The 13137-nt window shown below is 40.5% G+C and overlaps 1 protein-coding gene and 1 long non-coding RNA gene across 6 annotated transcripts in view, besides 5 other annotated features; one reads left to right on the forward strand and one right to left on the reverse strand.

Annotated features, from left to right (window-relative positions):
* Positions 1–11733, reverse strand: part of FBXO3 (F-box protein 3) — a 33577-nt gene extending 21844 nt beyond the window's left edge. For 4 of the 5 annotated variants that reach the window (NM_012175.4, NM_033406.4, XM_011519980.2 and 1 more), the window contains exons 1-3: positions 11607–11733; positions 7954–8043; positions 6064–6227 (exon numbers count right to left, since the gene is read on the reverse strand). In NM_012175.4, coding sequence (NP_036307.2) covers positions 6064–6227; positions 7954–8043; positions 11607–11710 — 358 coding nt within the window. In that variant the 5' untranslated portion in view covers positions 11711–11733. Of the gene's footprint in view, positions 1–418; positions 500–6063; positions 6228–7953; positions 8044–11606 lie in introns of those variants that run through there. The other variant, XM_047426752.1, reaches the window with a different exon arrangement.
* Positions 9576–9870: a silencer, noted in NCBI's record as "tiled region #12829; HepG2 Repressive non-DNase unmatched - State 19:H4K20". NCBI's record gives its function as "represses a minimal TATA promoter and a strong SV40 promoter by Sharpr-MPRA in HepG2 cells {active_cell/tissue: HepG2}" and the evidence as "EXISTENCE:reporter gene assay evidence [ECO:0000049][PMID:27701403]".
* Positions 10747–11247: an enhancer, noted in NCBI's record as "H3K4me1 hESC enhancer chr11:33795080-33795580 (GRCh37/hg19 assembly coordinates)". NCBI's record gives its function as "activates a minimal SCP1, AML or CMV promoter by ChIP-STARR-seq in primed H9 embryonic stem cells {active_cell/tissue: H9 hESC(primed)}" and the evidence as "EXISTENCE:reporter gene assay evidence [ECO:0000049][PMID:30033119]".
* Positions 10747–11265: a biological region, named in NCBI's record as "H3K4me1 hESC enhancer GRCh37_chr11:33795080-33795580".
* Positions 11196–11265: a silencer, noted in NCBI's record as "silent region_3242". NCBI's record gives its function as "represses an Ori minimal core promoter by ATAC-STARR-seq in GM12878 lymphoblastoid cells {active_cell/tissue: GM12878}" and the evidence as "EXISTENCE:reporter gene assay evidence [ECO:0000049][PMID:35858748]".
* Positions 11726–11825: a silencer, noted in NCBI's record as "silent region_3243". NCBI's record gives its function as "represses an Ori minimal core promoter by ATAC-STARR-seq in GM12878 lymphoblastoid cells {active_cell/tissue: GM12878}" and the evidence as "EXISTENCE:reporter gene assay evidence [ECO:0000049][PMID:35858748]".
* On the forward strand, positions 11912–12883 carry FBXO3-DT (FBXO3 divergent transcript). Its single transcript, NR_120550.1, has 3 exons — positions 11912–11964; positions 12467–12576; positions 12661–12883. It is a non-coding gene; the product is annotated as an FBXO3 divergent transcript (long non-coding RNA).
* The last annotated feature ends 254 nt before the right edge of the window (positions 12884–13137 follow it).

The raw sequence follows: 13137 nt of genomic DNA on the forward strand, positions 1-13137 counted from the left end.
AAAAACAAACATACAGTAAAGGATTGGCAAAGGCAAAAGCCAGCTCTTTGAAAAGATTAATAAAATTAATTCACCCCATCTAGCAAGATTGATGAAGAAAAACAGCAAAAGTATAAATAATTAATATTAGAAATGGAAAAGGTGGTATCACCACAGATCCAACAAGCACTAAAAAGATAAGAGGATATTATGAAAAACTTCATGTCAATAGATTTGAAAATAGATGAAGTGGACAATTTCCTAGAAAACAACTTATCAAAATTGACATAAGAATAAATAGAAAATCAAAATAGTCCTATATCTAATAAAGGAATTGAATCCATAATTTAAAACTTTCCTACAATGAAAACTCCAGAATTGAATGGCTTCACTGGTGCATTCTACTAATCATTTAAGCAAAAAATAAGACCAAGCTTACATAAACTCTTCCAGGGAACAGAAAAAGAGGCAACACTTCTCGACTCGTTTTATAAGGCCAGCATCATCTTGATACCAACACCTGACAAGAACATTGCAAGAAAGGAAAATTACAGGCCAAACTCTCATGAACATAGATGTAAAAATTCCAATAAAATACTAGCAGATTATATCCAGTACATATAAAAAAGATAATATATTACAATCAAAGTAGGATTATTCCAGGAATACAAAGTTGGTTTAGCATTCAGAAAAGCAATTAATGCATTTCACTGCATTAACAGAGTAAGGAGAAAAATCATGAGAATCATAATGCAGACAAGGCATTTGATAGAAATTATCCATTTAAAAAACAAAAACAAAAACCCTCTTCCCAAACTAGGATCAGAGGGACTATCTTCAATCTGATAAAGAATATCTACAAAAAAAAAAAAAAAAAAAAACCCTACAGCAAACATCTTATTTAAAGGTGAAATGCTTAAAGCTTTCCCTCTGCAATCAGAAAGATAAGGATGCCCGCTATCCTATCATTACTCCTCTCCAACACTGTACTGAAGGCCCTCGCCAGTGCAGTAAGGCAAGAAAAAGAAATACATGATATATAAGGCTTGGAAAGATAGAAATACAACTGTCATTATTCTACATCCTTAGGGAAATGCAAATTAAAACCACCACTATACACCTGCCAAAAAGGCTAAAATAAAAAGAATGACAACATTAAAGTGCTGGTAAGAATGTAAATTGGTAGAACTACTTTCAAAAATAAACACCATCTTTTGAAGTTTAACATAAGCAACTCTATAACCCAGCAAACTCAATGCCAGATATTTACCCAGTAGAAATATACTCATAGAGACATCAACAATGTATATAAAAATTTACAGCATTATTTGTAATAGCCAGAAATAGAAATAACCCAAATATCCATTAACAGTAGAAGGAATAGTCTACTCAGATAATGGAGTACTATACTGCAGCCAAAATGAACAAACTCTGTTACACTCAAAAAGATTGAATCTCACAAAGTAGAAATAATCCATACAAAATACTTAATCATACAACTTACATAAAGTTCAAAAAAGAAAACTACTCAATAGCATTAACAATCACAATAGTGGTTGCCTCTGTGAAAGAGGGAAGGACTATGAGGAGGGCTTCTAGGTACAGATAATATTCTACTTCTTGATCTGGAGGGTGTTACAATGGACATGTTTACCTTGTGATAATTCAATGAGTTGTGCACTTACAATTTGTGCCTATTTCTGTATGCTACTTAAAACCATTAGTGACAGCATGTACCGCTGGATATAATGTGAGGAGAAGGGCACTTCACGTCTGCAGTTATCTTTCTAAAAAAAAAACATAACTCCAGCTCCAGTCTAATCATCCGTAAAATATCAAGACGAAGCTGATTTGAGGAACTGCAATTACTTTTGCACTAACCTAATACAAAATACCTGACAAGTACTCTCTCAAAACTGTCAAGGTGCTGGGTGCGGTGGCTCCCATCTGTAATCTCAGCACTTTGGGAGGCCTACACGGGCAGATCACTTGTGGTCAAGAGTTCAAGACCAGCCTGGCCAACATGGTGAAACCCTGTCTCTACTAAAAATACAAAAATTAGCCAGGTGTGGTGGTTCGTGACTGTAGTCCCAGCTACTTGGGAGGCGGAGGCAGGAGAATCGCTTGAACCTGGGAGGCAGAGGTTGCAGTGAGCCAAGATCATGCCACTGTACTCCATCCTGAGTGACCGTCTCAAAACAAAAGCAAAAACAAACAAACAAAAAAAACTGTCAAGGTCATAAAAGACAAAGAAACTGCCACAGATCAGAGTACACCAAGGAGACATGACAACTAAATGCAATGTGGTATTCCGGACTGGATCCTGGAACAGAAAAAGGACAATAATGGAAAATCGGGGGAAATTCAAGTGAAGTCTGGAGTTTAGTTAATAGTAATGTGCCAATGAAGATGTTTTAGTTTTCATAAATGTCCCACAGTGGGATATATAAGGGTAAAGGGTGAGGGGTGTATAGAACTCTCTGAACTCTCTTTGCAACTTTTCTGTAAATCTCAAATTACTCCAAAATAAAAAGTTCATTTTAAAAAAAGAGAAATTTTAGTATAAAAGAAACGAAGCTGAATGGCAACCTGAACTACTGGATGAGGAAAGAAACGAATATTTATATGGTATGTGCCACATGTTAGACACTTAACATGTAACATTAACAAACTAAGAATTTCTTGAAGAAGAGAGAGAGACAAAAATAGACATGGCAAAAAGAAAACTAAAAGGAAATGTATGTTTACAATACAGTAAAATCAAGGTTGAAAGAGGTATCCAACTGTAATAGAATTTGGGAGGCAGAAAGACTAGAGTTAATCTTTGCTCTACTGCTTTGACATAGTTTGTATATTTGTCCCCTCCCAAATCTAATGTTGAACTGTAATCCCCAATATTGGAGGGGGGCCTGGTGGGAGGTGATTGGATCATGGGGTGGATTTTTTCTCATGAATGGTTTAGCATCCTTCCCTTGGTGCTGTCCTCAAGATAGTGAGTGACTTCTCATGAGATCTGGCTATTTAAAAGTGTGCCGTACCTCCCCCTCTTCCTATTGATCTTGCTTTTGCCATGTGACACGCCTGCTCATACTTTGCTTTCCCCATGAGTAAAAGCTCCCTGAGGCCTCCCCAGAAGCAGATGCCACCATGCTTTTTGTACAGCCTGCAGAATCGTGAACCAATTAAACCTCTTGTCTTATAAATTACCCAGAGTCAGACATTTCTTTATAGCAATGCAAGAATGGACTGATACACACTGACTGCATGATTTCTAGCAAGCTATTTCACCTCTTTAATCCTGTTTCTTCATCCTCAAGAAGGGGATAATACCACCTACCTTAGAGAATTACAGTGAGGATTAATAAAGTGCTTTACTCATACTCAGTAAATATTTATTTACTTTCTTTTCCCCTTAACCTACTCATAGAAGGAAACAGTGAAAAAGTTATGAGGAGCCAAGAAGCCTAGATTAGAGTTGTATCTTGGTCACTAGTTTGATACCTTGCATGAGTCACTTAAACTCTCCGGGTATGTTTCTTCAACTTACTAGCATAAATCAGGATGGGCATATTATAGCCCACACTCCAAATCCTGGCCTGCTGCCTCCTTGAATGAATAAAGTTTTATTGGAATACAGCAACACTCATTTATTTATGCATCATCTTTGGCTGCTTTTCCACAACAACAGCGGAGTTGAAGAGTTGTGACAGAGACCATGTGTCCCACAAAGCCTAAAATTTTACTGTCTGGTCCTTTAAAGAAAAAGTTTGCCAACCCCTCGTCTAAACAGTCTCTAAGTTGCCTTCCAACTCTAAAATTCTAAGCCAAAACTTAAGGTAAATATGAGATTTGAAAATATGTGACAACAATATATCTTAATTTCAAGATGCTCCATAAAAATTTCTCCAAGTCCAATGCCTATCTGCTTTCTGATTTTCCTTTTTATCTGCAACCTCTATAACCTTGCAATTGAATCAGAGACTGTGGCAGCTGAGGTGAGCAGCTAGGTTCCTGACTTGGTTTTAAAATTCGTAAGCCTAGGGTTCCAAGAACCCACAGCACTGCAGACATCAAAGAGCCTTTATCCTATTCCAACTCATGGCAAAGCCCCAGAGAACTGGCACTGTGGAGTAAAACAGGAGCTGTCAAGGAATTATCTGACAACCTCACTTCCAACTGCTAGGTAGTACAGGGAGCCTGGAACTACCAAAATTCATGCACCAAAAAAAAAAAAAGAAAAAAAAAAGGAAAAGAAAAACAAGCAGCAGCAGCAGCTGTTACATATCCTTAGTTTTATCTTCTTGATAGCTCTGAGCCTAAGAGCAGAACCATATACCATATCATATTCCAAATGTCCTAATATTTAAACTAGCTCTTCTAGTCCAATATACATTCTAAGACATTCCAAACATAATAGGATAGGTCCTGTCTCCCTTCAGCCAATGTTAAGATCATAGCCCTGGAGTCTGCTCTATATCCAAATCCTGGTTTTGCCTTTCCTTTGTGATGGTTAAACAACTTAGTTTTTTTTTTGTTTTGTTTTGTTTTTTTGAGATGGAGTCTTGCTCTGTCGCCCAGGCTGGAGTGCAGTGGCGCGATCTCGGCTCACCGCAAGCTCCGCTTGCCGGGTTCACGCCATTCTCCTGCCTCAGCCTCCTGAGTAGCTGGGACTACAGGCGCATGCCACCACGCCTGGCTAATTTTTTGTATTTTTAGTAGAGACGAGGTTTCACTGTGTTAGCCAGGATGGTCTCGATCTCCTGACCTCGTGATCCACCCGCCTCGGCCTCCCAAAGTGCTGGGATTATAGGCGTGAGCCACCGCGCCTGGCCACAACTTACTTAGTTTTTCATGCCTTGGGTAATCCACCTATAAAATGAGAATAGTAATTATTTATCCCATAGGACTTTTGCAATTAAATGGAGTAATACTCAAGAAATACTTAGCCAGTGCCTAGCTTTGTGTTTAATTAATAATAGCTACTGTAAGCCCTTACCTTATCATCACCAAATATCTATTTTCAGATTTAGTTTCCTCTTGAAATATTCGACCCTACATACCAAGTAAATAGTATTATTCGTTTCTTCTAAGAAAAGGAGCTATTCAGAATATTAATCAAGGGTACTTTCCTTCAAAGCCCTACTCTTTCTGCCAAATCATTCTTTCTTCTACCTTTTAGCAATTCAGTTTCAAGCACCTCGTCATGCAACCGTGATTTGTATGAAAGTAATATTTGCATGGGAAATTAGAGAGGAAACACAAAATGCAAAAGGAATACTGTTTCAAAAGAGTCTTTAGTTCTAAAGGGAAGAAAATATTTGAGAAGAACTGATTCCAATTTTAGCTTAGCAAAACCGAACATCTATACAATGCCTTTCAGTGTAGAAATCTGAAAAAAACTTGGAGGGTAAAGCAGGTAAGTAGCAATCAATCTACAATCTGTCTATTTTCATGATCATTAATTAAATCAAATTAATGGAAATAGCTTAATATTTCTTGCCAAAATTGGACAATAATGGTGTAATAGAAAGAGCATATTCTGGAGTTGAACAGACCTCAGTTCAAATCTTAGTTCTACTATTTTGCAAATGTCAAAATAAGGATAAAAGTTTTCCTTACTCTACTAGGCTGCTCTTACACAGGTAAACACCAAGGGTCTTTCTGAATATTAGACTATCAGACATTTACTTGTACTGAAAATAGTATCAACTTGTACTGAAACTGTATCAACAGTGTTGATACAGTAGGCAAAATTTCACAATTAAAAAAAAATCTTTTAAAAGAAATCACCGTAGTTACTCTCACACAATCTTAGCATTACTACTTTCTTAATAGAAAACAAATATAAGGATAAAAGTTCAGCTTTCCCTTCTGATAAATAACCATGTGGGTCCCAAGGATGAGAAAAAACAGGGTAAGCACTAGAGTGAAGGTCCTACTTCCATGGCCAAATATGAACAGTAAATCACAGACAAAGTTGGGTTAACACAGTTGCGTAGATGACAGAGATTCAAAGTTGTTTAAACTAACCTATTTATACTAACAGTAATGGAAACGGGGAAAGGGACCCTGAATTCCCAGTACCTTTCAGAGATAAAACCATCCGAGGACACCTGGGCTCCAAATATTTCTTGAGATCATCCCAGGCCTTTTTAATAGCAGCATAATGGTCAATGTATCTTCCTACATCAGAGTAAGTATCTATGAAGAGAGATTTCCAACACTGATTCTTCTGTGTTTTCTCTTCCCTAAATAGATGAAAAACATGAGATTTTAAATCTTTTAAAATAATATTAGCATTTATTTTAGATACCTACAACATATAGAAACTTGTACTTTTCCCTTCCTTTTCATTATATTTTAGCCACAAATGAAGATCAGATAGCAAAAAGTGATATATACATAAAAAAATTTTAACAAAAGTTACTACTGGCATGGTGGAATTGCTAGGCACTCATTTTCTCCTTTTCTTTCTACTTATTTTTTTTCAGTTTTCTAATCTTTAATAAAATATGAATAGTAATAACGTATAAATTTCAACTTATTCTTAAAAATATACCAATTATAAACTTTTAAAGGCATTATGTATTGTTTTAGAGAATACTTAGAATCTTGTGATATAATAATATTAATCTAACACATATCTACACTGAATTAGTTGAGAATCATAGAACATGAAAGTAATTACATGATTCAACATTCCTATTTGGTAAAATTCCCCAAGCATTTATTGAGTGTCCACTTAGCCACTGAGGATATAAAAAAATAAGGCACATTTTTTACCTTCAAAAAAGGTAAGAGTCTAACCAGTGAGAAAGAATGAAGTATAAAATTAAGAATCAGAAGTGATAGAGGGTAAGGCAGCCACAGACGGCCTTAAGGTAACATACTAACGAGCTTAGTAAGAAAGGCTTGGTAAGCCTTTGTGATGAATATAGAAGGAGGGAGAGAAGTGGGGAGAGAGAGAGAGACACGCCTAGGATGACTCCTAATTCTGATCTGGATGCCTGAGTGGATGATGCTGCTATGAAGACTGGGAATGCTGAAGGACAGGTTTAGGAATGGGGAAAAGAACAACTCAGGGTGGGTTTTTTTTTTTTTTTTTTTGCGGGGGTAGAAGAGGGAAGGGGAGCATCTTTTTATTAATCTAAATAATATACACATAGATTATTAAAACTAAAAAGTATCAAAGAACTTACGATGAAAAACTATTCTCCTGTTTTAAGTCCAACTCCTCAAAGGAAATCTTAGGTATTTCTAGAAGTTACCTCTATAGTTCTAAATGTTTATGCCTCTAATTCTTGATTTATCAACTTCACATGTATCTACTGATACCCCAAAGGGAAACACGGGAAGATCTAGCAATACTTAAAATTCCCCTTACCCTGTTCTTTTTCCTCCCAATGTTTGATAGCTCTGTTATTAATTTTCACTTCTGTCTAAAGCTTGCAGCTTTAAATAATATGCTTAAACCTCTGCTTCTTACTTCACCAACTTTAGTCACTACCTGACTCCACTTAATCTAAGAAAAGATATCAGCATTCCTACTCATTTCTTCCACCTTTCTCAACTCCCACTTTCTGTCATCTGTACTTTGATTCTGTCAAATTTGTTAACATTTACTGAATCCAGTTAATAAGTGTGGGACAGCCAATAGAAAGGTCCAGCAGACAGTTGTGCAAACAATTCTAGACCTCAGTGGGGAAGTCAGGGAGGGAGATTCAGGTTTGGGAGTTAGGAGCATGCAGATAGTCACTATAAACGGCAACAATGCATGCAGTAGAGTTCAGCAAGGGAGAGCAGCAGTGGGCTAAGGACAGAACCTTGGCAAATACCAACATTTACTAGCAGGCACGAGAAGAGCCACCAAAGGAGATAAAGAGACAAGGGTTAGAGAGGAGAATCAGGACAAACTAGTGTTATGGAAGAAGCCAAGGGCCAGTTTTCAGAAGTACATATTCCTCGAATACTCACTCAGATATCAGCCAGTATTTTTTGCAATGTCTTCTCCACAGCGGATCATGACTTGATAGCTGGCTAAGTCTTCGACTGACATAACAACAGCTGGCAGTAACCAGATTCACCGATAGTATTTAAAAAAGTAAGAAAACAATTTAAAAATAAAGATTAAAATATTCATTGTTTTGTTTTATGCCTTTTGTTTCTCTTACTTTTCACTTATTACCCTTATAATTACAAAACTATTTTCTAAAACCTGTTTAACATGTTAAGTAGTATAATTGCCTTGTTAGTAGTGAAACTGAGTTCACAAATAAACCCTGAAACATCTACAACTGTAATTTTTCACAAAAATATCTACAGACCATATATGCCATTGGAGTTAATCTCAAGTCAAGGAGTTGTCCTATGCTTATTATCAGGACAATACTCATTTCTACATATAGGAAGAAAGTTATTTAGTCATAAACAAAGGGACTTGGGGTTTTTTCCCAAGATCTGTAAGATGTATGCTACTAAATACACAGACTTTTTATTTTTGTTTTTTAAAATTTTTTACTTAAAGGAAAAAAGTATTGCCACAAAAACCACGTTTTCATTAAAGCAACTACTGGAAAGTCCACCTATAGAGGGTGCCTGAATCGTAACAGTTCTGACTCAATAGTCATGGCTACACAAGCTATCAGCTGCCCCAAAACATCGAATGTTAGAAGCAAATAACTTTCTTACTATATAAAGATTTCTAACACAACAGTGTTGCAATCCTGTAAATTCTACCCTACATAATTAATTTGTAAAAAGAATGAACCTAAGATTAGGACTCTATCCTTTCCAGAGAGAAATTACAAGTTATATTAATTGAAAGTAGGTATTCAAAGATCTCACTTGGGCAATAGCTATCAACAGAATCTTAAATCACATCAGGTTTGTCAAGGCCATGACTAAGGTGTGTTAAAAACCATCTATAGTAAACAAAATTGCCTTTGTTTGATTTTCAGATTTTACAGAAACATCATCCTCATCCTTTTCTGCCAAGCTCAGGAGATGCCCAAATTAACTTTTGTAAACATAGGAATCCCTCCAGTTTTGTGCATTCAGTTTCCATACCCTCTTCTTGATTCCTGTCCCTCCACTGCCCTAGGAGCTAAATGACATAAAAGAATCTGGAATATGCATGAAAGATGAATTCAATGCACATCGAGAGTGAAAACTACTGTTCTAGAGATTCTGATCCAGTCGGTTTGGACTGAGATCTGTACCTCAGGCATCTGTATGTTTAAAAAGTGCCACAGGCCATTCTGATGCACAGGTCATTCTGACGCACAGTGTGGCATTTATTCACTCCATTTCAGAATAAATCACTCTGAAATGGAGAGGGTATCAGATCATCTCAATTCAAACTAGGCAACTGATGCTACATGATTCCAGTGTACTAATCCAATCCAACCCAATCCAGTTCAGCAAATAATACCAAAAACTTCAGAGCTTATCACTAGACTAGACCCTTGACAAAATTGGGCTGTATGGTGCAGGAAAAAAGCTGCAATACACTGGATACTTTTCTGTAGATAAAATTCAAATGGTATTCAACTCAATTTATTTCCACAGACATTTACAGAGGGATCATGTCACTTCTGTTTAAAATTGTGATTACTACCTAAAGCATTTAAAGTAAACTCTTACTTCCTCACCTTGGTTCCCAAGGTCCTGCATGATCTCACCACCCTCATCTCATCACTGTCTGTGAGTCACTCCCTACCTCCAGCAACGCCAGCCTTCTGTATCTTCCACCAGGCCATGCTGTTGAACAGTACCGTTCAGCAGTCCCGTCAATCTCTGAACATACTTTTCCCTCTGCCAGAACTGCATATGCCCTGCTTCATATATGGCAGCTCCTTCCGATTTGATCACTTCTCACTTCCTATTCCTTAACAGAGCAATCTATTTCCTTCACAGCACTTAGTACCTCTTGCAATTATGCGCTTGCCCACTGGACTGTAAGCTCCATAAGAGTTGCCTTATCTGCGTTGTTCACTACTGTACCCTCAACACTTAACAGACTGGCACATAGCAAGCCCTCGGGGAAAAAAAAATCTTTGAATAGGAAGATAAGCAAGGCAGCCCTTACAATCAAGAAGCACGCCATCTACCTGACATGGCAAATCAATTCTGCAGGAAGAAGGTAGAGAGGGCATCTTCTCCACCTTGCCAAGTTGAGAAGAGGTAGGCAAGGCATTCCAGGCAAGGTCGAGAGCTTGAGCCACAGGAAAAAAAAAAAAAAAGAAAGTGCAAGTGTGTTGTATGCTGGCAGAGGTCTGATTTGGTTAGAATGGATGGTGCAAATGTGATAGTGGTGGAGAAATAAGTCCTGGAGGACCTTAGATATACAAGCCAGATGATAAGAGCTTTCAATGCCCCAGAAGTTTAGGTTATAGTCTATAAACATAGGGGTGTCACAGGTTTTAAGGAGAATGACAACCAGATGTGTCTTGGAAAGATTACTCTGGCAGCAATCAAAAGTTGGAGACTGTTAGTTAAATTGTAAGTATTTTCTAGAAAAATAAAATTGCTAGCAGGTACAGGTAGCGACCAGTACAGGTAGTGACCAAAAACTTGAGGTATCTCTCTATCACCACTTAGCTAGGCCAACAACTATCTGTAGCTCCAAGAAATCTGTATTTATAAAAAGACCTCTAATAACACAGGGCACAATCATCAAATGGCTAGAATCTAATGGTTAATCCAAACACAAAACAAATCTCGCCCACCTATCCTAAGAGGGCGACTTTGCATCCTCTGCAAATATATACGGTAGCACAGGAAACTCACAGCCATGCCACCCCCTGTCAAGGGTGTAAACAATCCTGACAGCTGGGGGGCGGGCTGGCAGCGCCATTTCTTCCACCACCCCAGACAGTCCCAAGTTCTGAAGAAACTGGGCATTGAACCACCCTTATCAGCAACCGGTGTTTATTTCTGGAACAGATGCTAGTAATGTGGGAAACCCAAGGTGTCCAGGAGAAAAGATAGTCACCGGTATGGCATCACCGGAAGTCAGTACCAAAACATAAAATCCAACATCGAACCGTAAGGAGCAATGCTGACAGCAAAACAATTCTCACGCACTGAAGTCCGAAAGTGAGCCCGGACAGCGATTCTGGCGCTGGGGAAGTCGCGCCAGGGGAGTAAGGGGTTGCCTATCTTCTCCTCTCGCTCACCCACCTGCCCACCCCGGCGCCAGACTCCGCAGGCCCCGGACCCAGCAGAGAAGAGCGCCTGGCCGGGACAGGGGCTTTTACACAGCAGCAGGGACTGACCCCAACCGGGCGGGCACCTGCGGGGCCAGCGGGGGTCCGCGGAGCGCGGCGGTGCGGCACGAGGGCCACTACCTCCTTCTCTTGCAAGTGGGCCTCACCGAGGCCTGGGAGAGAGATATCTCGTCGCTTCTCATACCTGGGCCCAGGACAGGAGGAAGACTCAGGGCGAGGCCCTTTCCGCCCCCGTCTCGCCCCGGTCCCCGGTGGCTCCGCAGGATGAGGGCGGCCCTGGCGTCACCTTCTGGTGTCGCGGAAGCTCGGGTCCTGTCAGCGGCCCCGACCCCCTTTCCCCCTGCCTCACCGCCTCCTCTCCCCATGCCCCCACCCCTGCCATGCGTGTCGTCCCATTACTTGATTAGATCCCGATAGTCCAAAAAGGATAAGATGAGGAGCAGGGGATCGGTGGGCAGCGACTCTAGGGTCAGCGGCGCCGTCTCGGTCTCCATGGCCGCCATCTTGCCTGGCCCGGTGCAGGTCTGGCCCCGCCCTGGCCCCGCCCCTGCCCCGCCCCCACCAGCGCCCGAACCGCCCCCAGCCGCTCTCACAGGTTTGTTATGTAACCGCCGGGCCAGCCCCGCCCTCAGGGTGGGCTGAGGTGCGGCTCCCTGGAGACCCCGCCCGCTAGCCGGGAGCCAGCGGCGCAGTGCGAGTTCAGCCCGCTTTCTTCGCGCTCCGCGTCAAATCTCTCCAGCTCTGTTCTCGCATCCCGGTTCGTAAACTTGCCCAGCCCGGGACCCTTTTGTTGCCAAATCTGCCTCGGTCTGCCCAACTCCTCCTGCGAAATTTTACACTCAGTATGCAGGAAGCCTCGCTCAAAATCTGACACTCCTCCACGCCCTTGGTCCCCAAATCCATTCCTTCTCTTTGTTTTCCAACCCGAGAACCCCTCGTTTTCCCCGCTCAGCCTTCCCCACCCCGCTTGTCCCCCGCACACAGCAGGGCCGCTCCGAGACTTGTCCACTCAGCAAGAGCAGAGCTGAGAATCAGCCAGGGACGCCAGCTGAAGGCCCTTCTCCCAAATTAAGGAAATAATTGTTGAGGGCTTAACTTCACGCCCCTCCCCGCCTTCCTAAGTAAAATGTGTACAAGGAGTGAGTCTGAGTCTCAGCCGCTGTCCCTTAATTTGGTTATCATGGCTATTTTCAGCCTATTAGGGCAATGCAAAGGGTACAGTGTGGATTTTTTCCAGCTTTAAAATTTATTTTGGCCAGGGTTTAGATCCCGCAGAGTTAAGTATCCCGCGTGTGAAGGGATGAACTGAGACTCCCAGAGGGCATAACTGATGGAGGCACGAAGATGTCTGCTCTTCAGCTTTGCCAAGGTGATATTAAAATGAGAGTGGGGGAAGTATAATGGGTCCATACATCACTTGCCTGATTTCTTCTTTTCCATTGCTTTTCCAAAGGTAGTATGGTGTAAGGGGCTTTGGGGAATCCAGACAGACCTGGACTTCACACGCCCGTCATTTATTTCACTACTAGTGAAATGCTGGCGTAGTTACGCCTAAGTTCTCTGAGACTGTCCCTCATCTCTAAAACCACCCCTCCTCTGGTGAACTAAGGATGGCGATAACGCTTTATGTAAAGTGCCTGGCCAGATACTCAATAAATGTTAATTTTCCAAGCTTATACATGCATCAGTCACTAAGTTCTCCAAACATTTCCATATCCTGGAGAAAGTTTCTCTCAATTATTTGGAAGAGTGGAAGTGATATGCCCCGCCCCAAAAAAATCCATTTCCTCCATTCTTCATACCATTAATGCCTTCTATTTATGGTTTTGCTTAATAGTTATAACCCCTGCCACCCAGCCAACAAAACAGAACAACAGCAACAAAAAACTCTGCCTACATCTCTGTGCTTCCAAATTGTTTATGCATATGC

This window comes from Homo sapiens, chromosome 11 (assembly GCF_000001405.40).
Source record: "Homo sapiens chromosome 11, GRCh38.p14 Primary Assembly".
Taxonomy (NCBI): Eukaryota; Metazoa; Chordata; class Mammalia; order Primates; family Hominidae; genus Homo; species Homo sapiens.